General features: G+C 54.3%; 1 protein-coding gene across 10 annotated transcripts in view, besides 2 other annotated features; it reads left to right on the plus strand.

Moving 5' to 3' along the window:
* The window catches only part of LRP5 (LDL receptor related protein 5), a 150,864-nt gene that overhangs the window by 54,232 nt on the left and 79,642 nt on the right, over positions 1-16,990 (plus strand). For all 10 annotated transcript variants that reach the window (XR_001747874.2, XM_011545031.2, XM_011545029.2 and 7 more), the window contains exons 3-5: positions 5,007-5,204; positions 11,104-11,300; positions 12,928-13,059. Coding sequence is in view for 8 of the 10 variants with exons in the window: in XM_011545031.2 (XP_011543333.1) it covers positions 5,007-5,204; positions 11,104-11,300; positions 12,928-13,059 (527 nt within the window). In the remaining 2 variants the exon portion in view is untranslated. The remainder of the gene's footprint in view (positions 1-5,006; positions 5,205-11,103; positions 11,301-12,927; positions 13,060-16,990) is intronic.
* Positions 491-1,124: an enhancer, noted in NCBI's record as "H3K27ac-H3K4me1 hESC enhancer chr11:68120602-68121235 (GRCh37/hg19 assembly coordinates)". NCBI's record gives its function as "activates a minimal SCP1, AML or CMV promoter by ChIP-STARR-seq in primed H9 embryonic stem cells {active_cell/tissue: H9 hESC(primed)}" and the evidence as "EXISTENCE:reporter gene assay evidence [ECO:0000049][PMID:30033119]".
* Positions 1,758-2,390: an enhancer, noted in NCBI's record as "H3K4me1 hESC enhancer chr11:68121869-68122501 (GRCh37/hg19 assembly coordinates)". NCBI's record gives its function as "activates a minimal SCP1, AML or CMV promoter by ChIP-STARR-seq in primed H9 embryonic stem cells {active_cell/tissue: H9 hESC(primed)}" and the evidence as "EXISTENCE:reporter gene assay evidence [ECO:0000049][PMID:30033119]".

Below are 16,990 nucleotides of genomic sequence, written 5' to 3' on the forward strand. Positions count from 1 at the left end.
GCTTGGCGCTTGGTTGGGAGTTGTTGGTGTCCAGTTGAGAGGTGCTAGGTGCTTGGTTGGGAGGTATTTGATTGGGAGGTGCTTGGCACTTGGTTGGGAGGTGCTCTGCACTTGGTTGGGAGGTGCTCGGTGCTAGGTTGGGAGGTGATCAGTTGGGAGGTGCTAGATGCTCTGTTGGGAGGTGCATGATGCTCAGTTGGGAGGTGCTAGGCGCTTGGTTGGGAGGTAATTGGTACTTGGTTGGGAGGTGCTTGGCACTTGGTTGGGAGGTACTTGGTGCCTGGTTGGGAGTAGTTGGTGTCCAGTTGAGAGGTGCTAGGTGCTTGGTTGGGAGGTATTTGATTGGGAGGTGCTTGGCATTTGGTTGGGAGGTACTTGGTGCTTGGTTGGGAGATGCTGGGCCCTTGGTTGGGAGTAGTCTTTCCCATGCTCAGATCTGAGCTGGCTTTGCCTGCATCATCTCTGCGAGCCAACTGTCCCTGTTTGGCTCTGGCTTTTCTTAACTATTTGAAATGGTTCCTTTACATGCTTGCCTCTGAATTCTCTCCCAGAAGCCCTCCCCAGGATCACACCTGTGGCTGTTCACTCCCACCCCTGCCCCTGGGGCAAAGTTGACCTTAGTGTTGATTCCTGGGCCTCTCCCCACACCTTCCCTTTGCTCCAGTCATTTGAATGAGAGAGTGAAAACAGTGAGATGCCGGCTCCCACTCATCAGATCCAGTGATGCTGATGACGCCAGCCATGGTCCTACCCTGAGGTGCTGACTCTGTCCCTGTAGGCTCCATGTCTCCGGAGAGGGAGAGGGAGAGGGAGAGGATTCCAGCCTGTCACAGCGCCCGCGGCAGCAACCCCTGCTCGCCAAATACTGACTTGAATAGTGGTCCTCAGGCATAAGTGTGGGCGCTGAGTCCTGGGGCAGGACTGCTGTCCTGAGAGTGGGGACAGTGGAGGGTGGGTTTGTCCTCTGTCCTGGCCACAGGCACACGGTTGCGAGGAGCATCTTGGCCTTCCTCCCGGCCCTGCTAGAGCCCCCGTCATCTCCTGTGCCCTCCTGCAGTGCTGTCCCCCACCAGGGTCCTTCCTCAGAGGAGGGGGTTCCTGCCCCGGCCATCATCAGGAAGGGGGTCTCTGGGTCCGAGCGTCCACCTCAGTGTGCACGTGGCCAAAAGGATCAAGAGCCCTGCAGCCAGGGGGGCCCCTCCTGAGACTCGACTTCGTTGCAGTTTCAGCAATGCAGGTGGCCCCGTGCGGACATCCAGGCAGGGTTGAGGGAAGGCACATCCCTCCCAGGCCCAGGGTACCCATGTGGGTGGCAGAGCGGGCTCTGGGGATGACCCTCTGGCCCCTGAGGATCTGGGGCCAGAAAGACACTGGCTTAGCATGGGAGGAGTCCCCGGCCTGTACCAGCCTGACAAGGGGCTGCAGTGGCCCCCGGGTCTCAAATTAAAGCCAGGGTGAAACCCAACCCCCTCTTTAAAATGCAAAATGGCCCTTCCCTAAAATAACACACAACCACAACCGCAGCTGGCTCTGCACGAAGGCCATGCTGCAGCTCTTTTCTTCGGAAGTCGATTTTCCTCCGTGGAATTTGGCTGGGCTTGTGGTAGCGTTTGAGACTCTGCAAGAGCACGTCCACGCCAACCAGTCTCTGGTCACCGACTGGCTCGCAAATTCCCCATTTAAGGAAACCAGCAGGCCTCTGTTATGAAACTCGGGGAAGGAATGTGAATTATGCTCCATGCGGAGGCTCCTGCTCCTGCACGTTTTCCAGCCTTTTCCATGGGCCACGGTGGAGCATTTGGGGAAGGCCTGTGTGGATTCCCCCCCAAGTCCAGACTGATGCCCCTGATACCTTCTCAGGAGGTGGCGGAGGGTCTGGGCTCTGTCCAGGCTCCTAGGGGTGGGGACGTGCAGGTAAAGCAAGGCGTCTGCCGCAGGCACGCGGGAGCCTTCCCTGGGCTGGCTGCCAGCACCTTGGAGTCCCAGGCTGCCAGGAAAAGTTCACCCACACCCGGGCTTTGCTGGCGAAGGGTGAGTCATATGATGGCCGGGCTCGGGCCCTCAGCAGACACCAAGTGTGTTCCCAGAGCAGCCGCTCAGCGCCTGTAACCTGGAACAGGCCAGCCTTTCGGGGCCTCAGTTTTCTCATCTGCCTAATGGGAATAGCAATTCCCACCTTCCCTTTGTTGGTTGGGTTCTCACTAGATGCACAGGAGACAGCAGCTTGAGAGGGACTGTTTGGAGAGCTGTTCCATGTGACACCCCTCTTACCCTGTCCCCACGGGGCCGGAGGAGCAGGGGCTTGGTGATAGCAGCTGGGCGCAGTCAGCCTCTGCAGGGAAGAGGGCATGTTTGGTTCGAGGCTCCTATGCCCTCATTCTTGTTGATCTTGTCACAGCCCCTCTGGAAGGTGGAGATGGTACTCGCTCAGGAACGATACCACTCAAGGAAGCATGGCCCCCTGGATGGGGTGGCCCTTGGTGCACCTGAGGCTCCTGAGGCTGCAGAGCACCATGGTGGGGGAGGAGGCGGCTGTGTGTCTGTCATTTGCCTCTTCTGCTGAATGGAGACCCCCAGAGGGCAAAGCGGGGCTTGTTCTCCCTGTGTCCCGGGATCACTCTCATGCCTGGCTTGGGCGAGCTGCCTGTTTCTAAATCACTTGCTAAGGCTGAGGGGAATGGGGTTTGCCGCCCACCCCAGGAAGAAGGGAGCAAGGGAGTCAGCACCATTTTACAAGGACCAAGAGTGGGAGGAGGCTCCTCAGAGGACATTCTGGGCACTGTCCCCTTTCTCTGCTGTGAAGGGTGGACAAAACACAATAGGTCTGCCAGCCCTTGTGTCCTGTGGCTCATCCCAGCTGGCTGGGATGGGAACTGAGTCCTCCAAGCTGGTGTGGTTCCCCTCTGGTCTCCGCTGAGAGTCACGCCCAGCCTCTGGGCACACACCCTGTGGTCACCTCCAAACAGGGCACACTGGGCACTGGTGGGGGTGGGACCTGCCATCCCAGACCTGGTGTCTGCTCACTTTGTCTTGGTTCATTGGCCAGAGATCACGTAAGGGCGCCCTGAGGATGTGCTTGTTTCTCATGGATGGGTGATGCTTGTCTCTTGGGAACATGGAGAAGCAAAGCCACGTCGCCCACAGACCTACCCAGGAACAGCTGCAGCTGCAGGTTCAGGGTCCATCCCAGCCATGGGTTTTATTCTTTTTTTTTTGAGACGGAGTGTTGCTGTCTCCCAGGCTGAGAGTGCAGTGGTGTGATCTTGGCTCACTGCAAGCTCCGCCTCCCGGGTTCACGCCATTCTCCTGCCTCAGCCTCCCGAGTAGCTGTGACTACAGGTGTCCGCCACCATGCCCGGCTAATTTTTTTTTTTGTACTTTTAGTAGAGACGGGGTTTCACCGTGTTAGCCAGGATGGTCTCGATCTCCTGACCTCGTGATCCGCCCATCTCGGCCTCCCAAAGCGCTGGAATTACAGGCATGAGCCACCGCACCCAGCCTTTTTTTTTTTTTTTTTAGGCAGGGTCTCACTCTGTCATCCAGGCTGGAGTGCAGTGGTACAGTCACAGCTCACTGCAGCCTCGACCTCCCAGGGCTGAAGGGATCCTCCCACGTCAGCCTCCCAAGTAGCTGGGACTACAAGAGTGTGCCACCATGCCCAGCTAACTTTTTTTTAATTTTTATTTTTTGTAGAGGTGGGATTTTGCCATGTTGCCCAGGGTGGCTCAAGTGACCCACCCACCTCAGCCTCCCGAAGTACTGGAATTACAGGTGCAAGCCATCGTGCCTGGCCATGTTTTGTTGTTTTTAAATAGACTTAATTTTTTCAAACAGTTGTAGGTTCACAGCAAAATTGATGAGCAGCAGGTACTGAGTTCCTATACATCCCTGTCCTCACACCCACACAGCCTTCCCAACTGTCAGCATCCTGTGCAGGGTGGTACATTTGTTACAACTGATGAAAGCTGGCTGACGCACCATCACCCAAAATCCACGTTTACACGAGGGTTCGCCCTTGATTTGTACATTCTTGGTTTAGACAGATGAGTAAGGACATGCACCCACCATTCCATGTCATACAGGATAGTTCCACTGCCCTGATTTTCTGTGCTCCACTCATTCATCCCTCTCCTCTCCAACTCCTGGCAACCACTGATGCTTTACTGTCTCTGTGTATTTGCTTTTTCCAGAGTGTTTAGAACTGGACTCATACAGATTGGCTCTTTCACCTACTAACATGCATTTAAGTTTCCTCCATGTCTTTTCATGGCTTGATAGATCATTTCTTTTCTTTTCTTTTTTTTTTTTTTGAGATGGAGTCTCGCTCTGTCGCCCAGGATGGAGTGCAATGGTGCGATTTCTGCTCACTGCAACCTCCCCCTCCCGGGTTCAAATGATTCTCCTGCCTCAGCCTCCTAAGTAGCTGGGACTACAGGTGCTCACTACCACGCCTGGCTAATGTTTTGTATTTTTAGTAGGGACGGGGTTTCACTGTGTTAGCCAGGATGGTCTTGATCTCCCGACCTCGTGATCCACCCGCCTTGGCCTCCCAAAGTGCTGGGATTAGAGGTGTGAGCCACTGGGCCCAGCCGATAGCTCATTTCTTTATACCACTAAATAATATTCCATCCTGAGTGTTTTGAATTGCCTTTTAGAGGTTCATTTACAGCATTTTCATGGTAGCAAAAAAATCAGAAATAACCTGAAGTTCTTTAAAAAACTTACAGCAGAGTACACTAGGCAATCATCAAAAGAACAAGGAATCTTTCTATCCACAAGAAGGGAAGGTGCCCAGAATTTACTGTTAACTGAGAACAAGTTGGAAATAGTATATTTTGATTGCCCAGCTTAAGGCAGGAATACCTGAAACCATACCTGTTGGTTATTTCCGATGGGTGAGATTTTAGGGCAAGTTCACTGTCTGTTGTTTCATGTCTGCATCTATGCAGACAAAAACAAAAAACAGATCTGTGTTAGCTGCTTCTCTTGCCCTGCCCCCGTCACAGGTACATGTACTGGACAGACTGGGGTGAGACGCCCCGGATTGAGCGGGCAGGGATGGATGGCAGCACCCGGAAGATCATTGTGGACTCGGACATTTACTGGCCCAATGGACTGACCATCGACCTGGAGGAGCAGAAGCTCTACTGGGCTGACGCCAAGCTCAGCTTCATCCACCGTGCCAACCTGGACGGCTCGTTCCGGTAGGTACCCACGCAGTCCTGGGGCACCCCTTTCCCCTTTGTCCCCAGGGCTTTTGAAGGCGTTCCTTCTTAACTCAGGCCTACAGACTCTTCTCTGAAACTCTGGGGCCCTGAGGAATGCAGGACTTCTCAGAACTTGGAACAGCGTCAGGGTCTGTGTGGCATTTGCCACCAGCCCTTGAATATTTCTATAGCAAATGTGGCACGTTCATTCTAAGTAGGGCAGAAAAGACTATCTGTAGCCCACACCCATGCACAGTTTTTTTTTTTTTAACTTTGTTTTTTTGAGACAGAGTCTCACTCTTTCACCCAGGCTGGAGTGCAATGTCATAATCTCAGCTCACTGCAGCCCCCACCTCCCAGGCTCAAGCGATCCTCCCGCCTCAGCCTCCCGAGTAGCTGGGACTACAGGAGTGCGCCACCACACCTGGCTAATTTTTGTATTTTTGGTAGAGACGGGGTCTCACATGTTGCTCAGGCTGGTCTCAAACTCCTAAGCTCAAGGGATCCTTCCCCTCGGCTCCCAGAGTGCTGGGATTACAGGCGTGAGCCACCGCACCCGGCCCATGCACCAAATGAGGTTTTGTCACCAGATGAGCAACAAAAGCTTTCCATCTTCAGAGCGTTTTGGATTTTGGAATTGTTGGGGAGGGCTTATGGCCCGGCAGGGTTGTGAACAGTAACCCTGTCACACGCACCACCCCCACCCTGGCCCTATCCCAGCTCAGGCATCCTGAGGGCAACAGCCGGAAGCTGTCTCAGTTATTGGTGCATTCCCCAGTCTCACCAGGGGGCCTTCCACATGGTCAGTGCTCAATAAAATGGGCCGAGAATGAGTAGGAAGGGTTTTCCCCTCGTTGGTTAATTGCTTTTAGAGCCTTCTGGTCAGCATAGCTTCCCAGCTCTGTACTTAATTACCCCTTATAGAAACATCCCTTCTGTGTACAGGTGAAGGGCAGTTTATTCACTAACCAAGTGCTGCCTGCTGCTAGCCCTGTGCTAGGTGTCAGGGATCCTCCTGGGACGGCAGACCCCATTCCTGCACTAGTGGAGCTCCTGGCCCAGGCAGGGATGTGGCAGGTGTCTGTGCAGAGGGCAGTAGTGACTGCATGGGAGGACTCAGTGGCTGGATTTCTGCAAACACAGGCCAACACCCACATGAACAGACTTGAGGGCTTGGGCAGCTTTGCTCCACACTTGCCAGGCCTCGTGTGTTAGTTATCCATTGCTGTGTAACAAAACAGCCCACAACTTAACAGCCTGAAACAGCAAACAGGTTTTTTATGGGGAGGGAGTCAGTGATGAGGAGTGGATTAGCTGGGTGCTTCTGGCTCAGGGTATGACCTGAGGGTACACTCAAGCTCCTGGCTGGGCCTCAGTCATCTGAAGGTTTGAGTGAGGCCGGGACATCCACTTCCAAGCTCATTCTCAGGGCAAGAGGCCTCAGTTTCTCCTGTTCCTCTTATGCTGAGCCACACATCTCTTTTGGGCTGGTTTGAAAATATCCTGTTGTCCCTGGAAGTGCAGACCAGCGGGTCTGGTTTGAGATTTGGAAATGTGGTTACCCTGTAGACTGTGGTTCTTGGGAGCTGAGTGATCTTACAGTTATGAAGGGTGGACAAGAGGATAGAAAGGCTGCAGCTGGGAGTGCCCTGGTCAAAGGATGGTGACAGGGGACAGTGAGGGTGATGGAGGTTGAAACATGCTAATGGTGGTGGCGGTGGCGGCAGCGAATCCTTCCATAGCACTTACTGTTTTCCAGGGACGTTTATCAGTTCATTTAATGCTCATACCACCTCTATGAAACGTTTGCTATTATGTTTTATTTTTATTTATATTTTTATTGTTTTGAGGCAGGGTCTCACTTTGTCACCCAGGCTGGAGTGCATTGGCACAATCATGGTTCACTGCAGCCTTGACCTCTTTTTTTGTTTGTTTGTTTGTTTTTTTTTTTTTTGGGATGGAGTCTTGCTCTGTCCCCCTGGCTGGAGTGCAGCGGCACCATCTTGGCTAACTACAACCTCCACCTCCCAGGTTCTAGCGATTCTCCTGCCTCAGCCTCCCAAGTAGCTGGGATTACAGGTGCCCGCCACCACGCCTGGCAAATTGTTGTATTTTTTTAGTAGGGACGGGGTTTCACCATGTTGGCCAGGCTGGTCTTGAACTCCTGATCACAAGTGATCCACCCACCTGAGCCTCTCAAAGTGCTGGGATTACAGGCGTGAGCCACCACACGCGGCCACAGCCTTGACTTCTTGGGCTCAAGTGTTCCTCCCGCCTCAGCCTTCCAAGTAGCTGAGACCACAGGCACGTACCACCACGCCTGGCTAATTTATTTGGTATTTTTTTTGTAGAGACGAGGTTTCACCATGTTGCCCAGGCTGGTCTCAAACTCCTGAGCTTAAGCCATGTGTCCACCTCGGCCTCTCAAAGCACTGGGATTATAGGTGTGAACCACTGTGCCTAGCCTGTGTTTGCTATTTTGATCCCCTGTGCACAGAGAAGCATGTGAATTTGCCCAGAGCCACACAGCTAGTCCCAGCCAGGGTTGGAACATAGGGTCTGTAGCTCCAGGTCTGGTCTGTTCTCAGCCTCTCTCCCACCTGCTTCCCCGCGGGATTCTTCTGCCTCTGCAGCGGCCATCGCTCTTCATGATGCACCTGGGGCTATTCACATGGAAGCGTCGTGTGTTGGGTGACGAGCTCTGGAGCCACACAGACCTGTGCAGGCCCCTTTATCTGTGACTGTGGCTGGGGCAAGGGCCGAGGCTGACCTTCCCTCAGTGCTTCTGGCTGAGGCAGAGCATGGCCCAGGGAGCAACCGAGAGTGATGGGCCTCTGGCTTCTCTCACTGAAAAATGGCCACATGGGCTGGGCGCCATGGCTTACGCGTGTAATCCCAGCACTTTGGGAGGCCGAGGCGGGCGGATTACGAGGTCAGGAGATCGAGACCATCCTGGCTAACACGGTGAAACCTCGTCTCTACTAAAAATACAAAACATTAGCCAGGTGTGGTGGTGGGTGCCTGTAGTCCCAGCTACTCGGGAGGCTGAGGCAGGAGAATGGCGTGAACCTGGGAGGCGGAGCTTGCAGTGAGCTGAGATCCCGCCACTGCACTCCAGCCTGGGCGACAGAGCAAGACTCTATCTCAAAAAAAAAAAAAAAAAAAAAAAAAAAGGCTGGGCGCGGTGGCTCACGCCTGTAATCCCAGCACTTTGGGAGGCTGAGACGGGCGGATCACGAGGTCAGGAGATTGAGATCATCCTGGCTAACACAGTGAAACCCTGTCTCTACTAAAAATACAAAAAATTAGCCGGGCATCGTGGTGGGCACCTGTAGTCCCAGCTACTCGGGAGGCTGAGGCAGGAGAATGGCGTGAACCTGGGAGGTGGAGCTTGCAGTGAGCTGAGATCCCGCCACTGCACTCCAGCCTGGGCTACAGAGCGAGACTCTGTCTCAAAAAAAAAAATAATAAAATAAAATAATAAAATTAAAAAATTAAAAGTAAGGCCGGGCGTGGTGGCTCACGCCTGTAATCCCAGAACTTTGGGAGGCCAAGGCAGGTGGATCATGAAGTTAGGAGATCGAGACCATCCTGGGTAACACGGTGAAACCCCATCTCTACTAAAAATACAAAAAAATTAGCCAGGCGTGGTGGCCGGTGACTATAGTCCCAGCCACTCGGGAGGCTGAGGCAGGAGAATGGTGTGAACCCGGGAGGCAGAGCTTGCAGTGAGCTGAGATGGCACCACTGCACTCCAGCCTGGGCGACAGAGCGAGACTCTGTCTCAAAAAAACAAAAACAAAAAAAAATAAAATTAGAAAATTAGCTGGCCATGGTGGTACATACCTGTGTTCCCAGCTACTCAGGAGGCTGAGGCAGGAGGATGGATTGAGCTTAGGAGATTGAGGCTGCAGTGAGCCATGATCACACCACCGCACTCCAGCCTGGGTGACAGAGCAAGACCCTGTCTCAGAAAACAAACAAAAAAGACAACATTGTGGAAAACAGTTTGTTGATTCCTTGAGACGTAAACATTGATTTACGTATGACCCAGCAATTCCGCTCCTAGCTGTATACTCTTAAGAATCGAAAACAGGTCTTCACACAAAATGTGAATGGACAGTAATGTCCGTAGCAGCACTGTGCACAACAGCCGAGGGTGGAAATGACACAAAGGTCCCCCAGTGGGTGAATGGATGCACAGATTGGGTTCTGTCTGCACACTGGAATATGGTTCACCCCTAAAACGGGATGAAGCACTGACATGCTACAGCCTGGATGAACCTCGAAAACATGGTGCCAAGTCAAAGAAGACAGACATCAGAGGCTGTATATTGTGATTCCGTTTATATGAGATGTTGAGAATGTGTGTAGTTAAGTCCATCAAAAGTGTTTGCCGGGGCTGGGGGCGGGGACTGGGGAGTGACTGCTGCCGGGTGTGGGGTTTGCCTGTGGGGCAATGGAAGTGCTTTGGAACTAGACAGAAGTGGAGGCTGCACCGCCTTGCGAATGCACTAGGTAACACTATTCACTTTAAAGTGGTAAATTTAGGCTGGGTGCAGTGGCTTATGCCTGTAATCCCAGCACTTTGAGAGGCCAAGGCGGGTGGATCGCCTGAGCTCAGGGCTTCAAGACCAGCCTTGGGCAACATGGCGAAACCCTGTCTCTACCAAAAAGATACCCCCCAAAAATTAGCTGGGTGTGGTGGTGCACGCCTGTGGTCCCAGCTACTCTGGAGGCGGAGGTGGGAGAATCGCTTGAACCTGGGAGGCAGAGGTTGCAGTGAGCTGAGATCACACCACTGCACTCCAACCTGGGTGACAGAGTGAGACCCCATCTCCAAAAAAAAAAAAAAAAGTAAACGTATGTCCTGTGAATTTTACTTCAATAATTTTCTTAAAAAACAGCATCAACAAAAATGAACAGAAGAGGTGGTGGATCTGCAGAGCCCACAGCTCCCATCTTCCCTGTGCCACTTCATGAGTGTCACCCTCTCCTGGCAACTGTGCTGAGGGCTGGGGACGTGGCGGGGACCCTCTGCCCCCAGGCCCACCCTCAGGGAGCCTGTCACGGGGCGAGGGTCATTAAGCAAATAAAACTGCACATTACCGACCACGTCACATTATGATCCTGTTTCCAGTGTCCATAATCTCATTACACCCGAGTCCTCATTTGCTGGGCACTGTAAGCATCTAGAAAAGAATAGCTGTTTCTCGGGTTGATGCCAAGTTTCATTTACTCTGAAAGTATAAATTATGAGCATTGTAAGAAGGAGCGAGTGCACATGGCCTGATTTGTATACAGAGGTTAAAGCGTTGGGCAGGAGAGGTGTGCTTTTTGCCAGGCATGGCTTCCTCCTTTCTTCCCTGGGGGAGACTTTGCCACTTGACCTGGGGGAGCCCGTGTGTCACCATCACAGGCTGTGTTTGGGAGGTGCCCTGTGCACGCCGGGAGAAATGTACGAGGGCGCCAGCTCCTGGGGCTCTTGACCTGGCCTCACTTGTCTGGTTGAAAGCAAATGGGAAGCCTGGCATGGTGGCGCACGCCTGTAATCCCAGCGCTTTGAGAGGCTGAGGTGGGTGGATCACCTGAGGTCAGGAGTTCGAGACCAGCCTTGCCAACATGATGAAACCCTGTCTCTACTAAAAATACAAAAATCATCTGGGCGTAGTGGTGGGCATCAGTGATCCCAGCTACTCGGGAGGCTGAGGCAGGATAATTGCTTGAACCCGGGAGGCGGAGGTTGCAGTGAGCTGAGATTACATCACTGCACTCCAGCCTGGGCGACAGACCGAGACTCCATCTCAAAAAAAAAAAAAGAAATTAATTGGGTCAGCAGCAATGACTGTCGGGGGACCCTCCTGATGGCTCCTCCACCCCGCTTCCCTGACTGCAGGCAGAAGGTGGTGGAGGGCAGCCTGACGCACCCCTTCGCCCTGACGCTCTCCGGGGACACTCTGTACTGGACAGACTGGCAGACCCGCTCCATCCATGCCTGCAACAAGCGCACTGGGGGGAAGAGGAAGGAGATCCTGAGTGCCCTCTACTCACCCATGGACATCCAGGTGCTGAGCCAGGAGCGGCAGCCTTTCTGTGAGTGCCGGCTGGGGCGCGGGGGCGAGGGTGCGGGGGCTGGGGGGAGCGGGGGCGCGGGGCAGGGGAGTGGGAGGATGCGGGGGCGTGGGGGTGCGCGGGCGTGGGTGGGGTGGGGGGGCAGGTGACCCCTCCCTGCAGAAGCCCATGCTCTGGGGGGCCCCCTCTCTAAAGGGGTACCTGCTGCAATGGAGGGAGGTGTGTGGCTGGCTGGGGGACACGGGCCTGCAGAGGACCCCTCTGCAGAGCTCATGGGGGCTATTTCAGGCTCAGCAGTGGCAAGGGGATTTCCAAGGAAGGTTGCCTCGTTTTCAAGGCCCAGAAGAAGTTGTCTGTGTGTGTGTGTATATGTATTTATATACACATACACGTATGTGTGTATATATATATATGGTTATTTATATATACATATATATGTGTGTGTGTGTGTGTGTGTGTGTGTGTGTATGTATTTTTAATAGAGATGAGAGATTTTGCCACGTTGCCCAGGCTTGTCTCAAACTCCTGGGCTCCAGTGATCCTCACACCTTGACTTCCCAAAGTGCTGGGGTCACAGGTATGAGCCACCATGCTTGGCCCTGCAAGTCGCGTATTTATCAATGAATAATCTGCCCAGAATCAGCAGTTCTCAGCCTGGGGGCCACGCTGGGTTGTGACAGAGGTCCCTGATGGGGAAATGCACCAGCTTCTGTGACAGTGGGGCTGCGGCTCTGGGGACAGTGGCCCACTCCCACAGGGACCAGGGATGGAGATTTCTGGCCAGGCCATTATGGAAGGTTTGGACTTTGAATTGAAATGTGGGGCCTAGGGGTGCCAGCTGTTCCCAGAGCAGGACACAGGAGGGTGGGGCTCTCTGGAGCTGTTTCCTGGTGAGAAAGTCGTGGTCACAAAACCCATCTACACTTGGGGCAGCATGAGGGAGGGAGAGGTTCATTTTGATGAGTTTGTTGTTCCAGTTATATCCGTATTTTGGGGCTGCTACACCCAGCTTTCCCCTGGTTTGAATGAGGTGCTGGAAGCATTTATCGAGTTCCGTTCAATTGCTGTTGGTCATAGAAGGGCTTGGGAGAGTGACAAGCTTGGCCATCCCAGCAAGAGGGACAGTGTTCCTATGGAAGCTGCTGGGTCCACACATAGCACAAAGACAAGACAAGCCTTTTGCCCAGGAGCCCATTGTCTCTGGGGTTCCCGTCACTACCACACAGGCAGGTCCTGACCCCGGCCATTGGAGCGTGGGGGGCAGCCTTTGCAGAGGGGTGTCCTTTGGGGGCTCCGAGGAGCTGGGGAGGGTGTTCTAGTCATAGGAGCTTGGTGGGAGGAAGCAGATGGGGAGATGTCACTCCATGGGCAGGTCACATCTGGGTGTGAGGGTGGCCAGGAAGGTCACGGCTGGTTTTGGGGAAATTGCAGGCCGTCTGGCCAGGCTGAGGGCCCCATGTGGACGGGCCAGCGATGAGGCAGGTGGAATGGTGCCAGCGGGGAGGTCCCTGATGCCACTTGAGGCCGATGTTTGGGCAGAGGGACACACTGGAGGCTGTCACGGGGGACGAGGCAGGATGTGACTCATTCAGAAACAAGTGACGGTCCTCTTCTGGAACCTTCTCTCACTCTGTCCTGGTTTTCTCAGTCCACACTCGCTGTGAGGAGGACAATGGCGGCTGCTCCCACCTGTGCCTGCTGTCCCCAAGCGAGCCTTTCTACACATGCGCCTGCCCCACGGGTGTGCAGCTGCAGGACAACGGCAGGACGTGTAAGGCAGGTGAGGCGGTGGGACGGGACGGGGCGGGCGGGCGGGGCGGGGCCTGGCGGGAATGGGTTGCGGCCGCCGGGGGTGCCCCAGAAGGAACCTCGGCAAACCCGTTCGAAATGATCCACTTGGCGGGTGTGGTGATTCAAGTCTGTGGTCCCAGCTACTCGGGAAGCTGAGTTGGGAGGATTGCTTGAGCCCAGGAGGTCAATCCTGTTTTGTTTTGTTTTATTTTTGCCCCAGATATTTTCCACTTTTTTACTCTCCGCCTTGGTCCTCAGGCACTTGGTGCTTCCTGGGACTGTGTTGCAGTGAGGCATGGCTCTTCTCCTCTGGGGCACCGGCTGAGGATCTTTCTTTCCAGGTGTCGGTTCGGGGCGGGCCCTTCGGGAAATCACACACGTTCAGGATGCAGCTCGCCTTCGGGGATGCTCCCGGGCCTGGGATAGCCAGTCTGGCCTCTGGGGCTGACCCTGGGGCCTGGCAAGCGAGGGGGTAACGAGAGGTGTCAGGAAAGCGCCATCCCTGGGACCAGTCCTCCCCGTTTCTGTAGCGTGATGGGGCCCAGCTTGCAGAAGGTGGTGGGGGACAGGGCCTGCTTCCTGTGCCGGTGTCCCACTCGGGAGGGCAGGGGGCTTCCAAGTGGGCTGGCTTCCACACTCAGGAACAGTCCTAAGGGCAGAGTCTCGGTGTGGGGCCCCCTAGAAGGACTCTCCTGGCATCCGGTGGATGGAGAAGTGTCCTTGCTCTCACTGCTGTCTGAGCACATGGGGGTCCTGACTTTAGGAACAGTTTCCTGGTCCCCCTGTTCTTGCTGGCTAGGGTCTGTGTTTGTGTGCAGCGGCTGGGGTGTGTGTGTGGTCGTGGCGCCCGTGGCGTGTGGGTCTTTTCTCTGCTCCCTGGCAGGGGTCCTGCGTTTGGTGAGGATTTTCCAGGTTTGTATTTGTCTTTCTCTTTCTGAGAGCAGGGCATCTTTAATGAAGACATGGCTGTTACATCAAAGGGTCTGTCCGCTGTGCCGGCTGCTGCAGGGGATGGTTGGAGAGCCTCCCCGACCAAGCATCTTGTTTCCCAAGTCGGGAGAAGGAGAATTTGAGAAATGGGGACTTGGGCGGCCTAGTCCTCACGGCTCTGGACAGCACCCCATTCATTCATCTGCTTGCTCATTCATTCGTTCATCCATCCATTTGCTCATTCAGCAGGCATTTGTCGAACACTTGCCGGGTGCTGGCATTGCTCCGAGGCACTGGGGACCCCGCGGTGCAGACAGAATCCCGGGCCTCTGGCGCTCGCACTCTGGGCTCTGGGGCTGGGTGGGTGGGGGAGACGGCACAAGTGAGTCCACGAGGGAGTCAGTGCATTAGAAAGGGTGAGTGTCTTGGACACCCGCTCCTCCATCACCTCTGGGGCCCTTCGCTGTTGACCGTTCACCTCGGCCTCAAAGGCAATGTTGAGAGAGAAACTGGACCCAGGGAAGGAGTCCAGATGAGCTGCCTCCTGAGTGACCTGGCGACACCAGGGGTTTGGACCAAGCAGGTTAAGGGAGGATTATAGACCCTTGAAGGGGAGGAGTGGTTTGACCAGGTTGGATGAGCCCTTTGTTTACAGAGGAGGCCAGGGCAAGTCACCAGCCTGGGGTTGCCCACAGCAGGTGGCATAGTAGGTTCTAGCAGGTGGGGTCTGGCTCCCAGAGCCATGAGTTTGCTGCTGCCCCATACCTGGGCCCTGGTGGAGCAAGGCCCTGGTCTCCCTCGCAGACTGCCCCAGGACGCTGCCTGCTCCCTGGAGGAGGGGGTGCCTCGGCTGCACAAGCCTCAGCGGAGAAGGATGCTTGGCTTGCTGGCTGCCCGGGAACCTTGGCCTTCTCAGAGTTTGTTTTCTTTCCTGCCTGTCTGTTGGTGAGAAGAGGCTGAACTCAGTGCTGGAGCTGGACCCTGCGCTCTGCAGTGTTGGTTGAAGTCCTGGCGGAAAGGGAAAGAGTGAGGACATACGGGCTCATGACGGCAGGGAGTGGCCACCACAGTCAGGGCCGGGGGACGGAGGGGAGAGAGAATCACCGGAATATGGCAAAGGTGTAAAACAGGCAGCTCGGGCCGGGCGCAGTGGCTCACGCCTGTAATCCCAACAATTTGGGAGTCCAAGGCAGGTGGATCATTTGAGGTCAGGAGTTCAAGACCAGCCTGGCCAACATGGTGAAACTCCATCTCTACTAAAAATATAAAAATTAGCTGGGCAGTAGTGGCACGGGCCTGTAATCCCAGCTACTTGGGAGACTGAGGCAGGAGAATTGCTTGAGCCTAGGAGGCGGAGGTTGCACTGAGCCAAGATCATGCCGCTATACTCCAGCCTGGGCAACAGAGTGAGACCCTGTCTCAAAAAAAAAAAAAAAAAAATGCAGCTCGTCCTGGCTAGTCTGAAAAAGGTGGAGCATATATGTTGCCCAATATCCACAAATATTCCAGAAAATATCTGAGAAGAAAGCAGTTAATGAGACGGGCCTGTTCCCCTGCCCCGAGGCACACGTGTGGTGGGGGCCATGTCAGGAAGCAAGCCGGCACACAGATGGACATAGGACAGACCTGGATCGGGTACGGAACACAGCAGGGGCTGAGCCGGAGACTCCTGTACTGGGGGTGTGGCCGCCTGAGCCGGCAGGTCAGAGGTCTCTCTCAGGAGGCCTGAGATCTGAAGGACTAAAAGAGGGAAAGGCGAGAAGGAACAGCACGTGCAGCGGCTTTGAGGCAGGAGCATGCTGGTGTTGGGACCGACTTCACGGGCTGTGTGACCTGTGTAGTCATATGAGGTGAGCTCTGTTGTTGACCTGAAATTCCTACCTTTTGAGTAAGGGGCTGTCTGCACTTCCATTTTGCAGCGGTCCCCGCAAATTCTGTAACGGGCCCGGCTCGTGTGTTTGAGAAGCTGAAGGGAGGTCTGGAGGTGGTCTCTTACTCTCTTGGTGTGTCTGTCTCCACATTTTATCTTCTGTTTTTTTGTTCCCCAGCCCTCCCTGCGTTTTTCCTGTATGTGACTGTGTGTCTGTGTGGGTGATCGAACCGTAAGGCTTCCTGCTATTTATTTCACTTTATGCACTGCAGAAGCATTTGCGATTGCAGGAGGTAAATATGTATCAAAGACATGAGTTTTAGTGAAGGATATCTTTTTTTTTTTTTTTTTTTGAGACAGAGTCTTGCTCTGTTGTCCAGGTTGGAGTACAGTGGCTCACAGCAGCTTCCACCTCCCAGGTTCAAGCAATTCTCCTGCCTCAGCCTCCCAAGCAGCTGGGATTACAGGCGCCCGCTACTATGTCTGGCTAATTTTTGTATGTTTAGTAGAGATGGGGTTTCACCATGTTGGCTAGGCTGGTCTTGAACTCCTAACCTCAGGTGATCCACCTACCTCAGCCTCCTAAAGTTCTAGGATCACAGGCATGAGCCACTGTGCCTGGCCTATGCCTGAACAATATCTTATCAAGACATGTCTTTTAGTCATCCTCCCGCTATGGGGCGTTTCTGTTCTCTTTGTGTTTTTGCCATTTCTGAGTCTTGCTGCTGTGGGTTGGGAGTGGGCAGGTGAGAGCTGGCTTGGGGCCTGGCCACTGGAGTTAGAGGGAGCAGGGCCTGGTGTCTGTTGCCACCATCGATTGGTGATGTCTGCCTAAACACTGTGTTGCATCTGCTGGGGATGTCTGCCTTGGGAGAGCAATGGGCATGTAGGAAGCAGGTGTCACCATCTCTGTTCTTGGGGTGTCAAAGCAAGGCTGGGTGTGGACATTTGTCGAAGGAGTGGGGAATGGACACAGCCCCCAACAAGCAGATCGTGCAGTCGTGCCTGTCAGGTGCCTTGCCCTAACAGTGGAAGGATCATTTGAGGTCAGGGGTTCAAGACCAGCCTGGCCAACATGGTGAAACCCTGTCTCTACTAAAAATACAAAAATTAGCCGGGC

This window comes from Homo sapiens, chromosome 11 (genome assembly GCF_000001405.40).
Source record: "Homo sapiens chromosome 11, GRCh38.p14 Primary Assembly".
Lineage (NCBI taxonomy): Eukaryota > Metazoa > Chordata > Mammalia > Primates > Hominidae > Homo > Homo sapiens.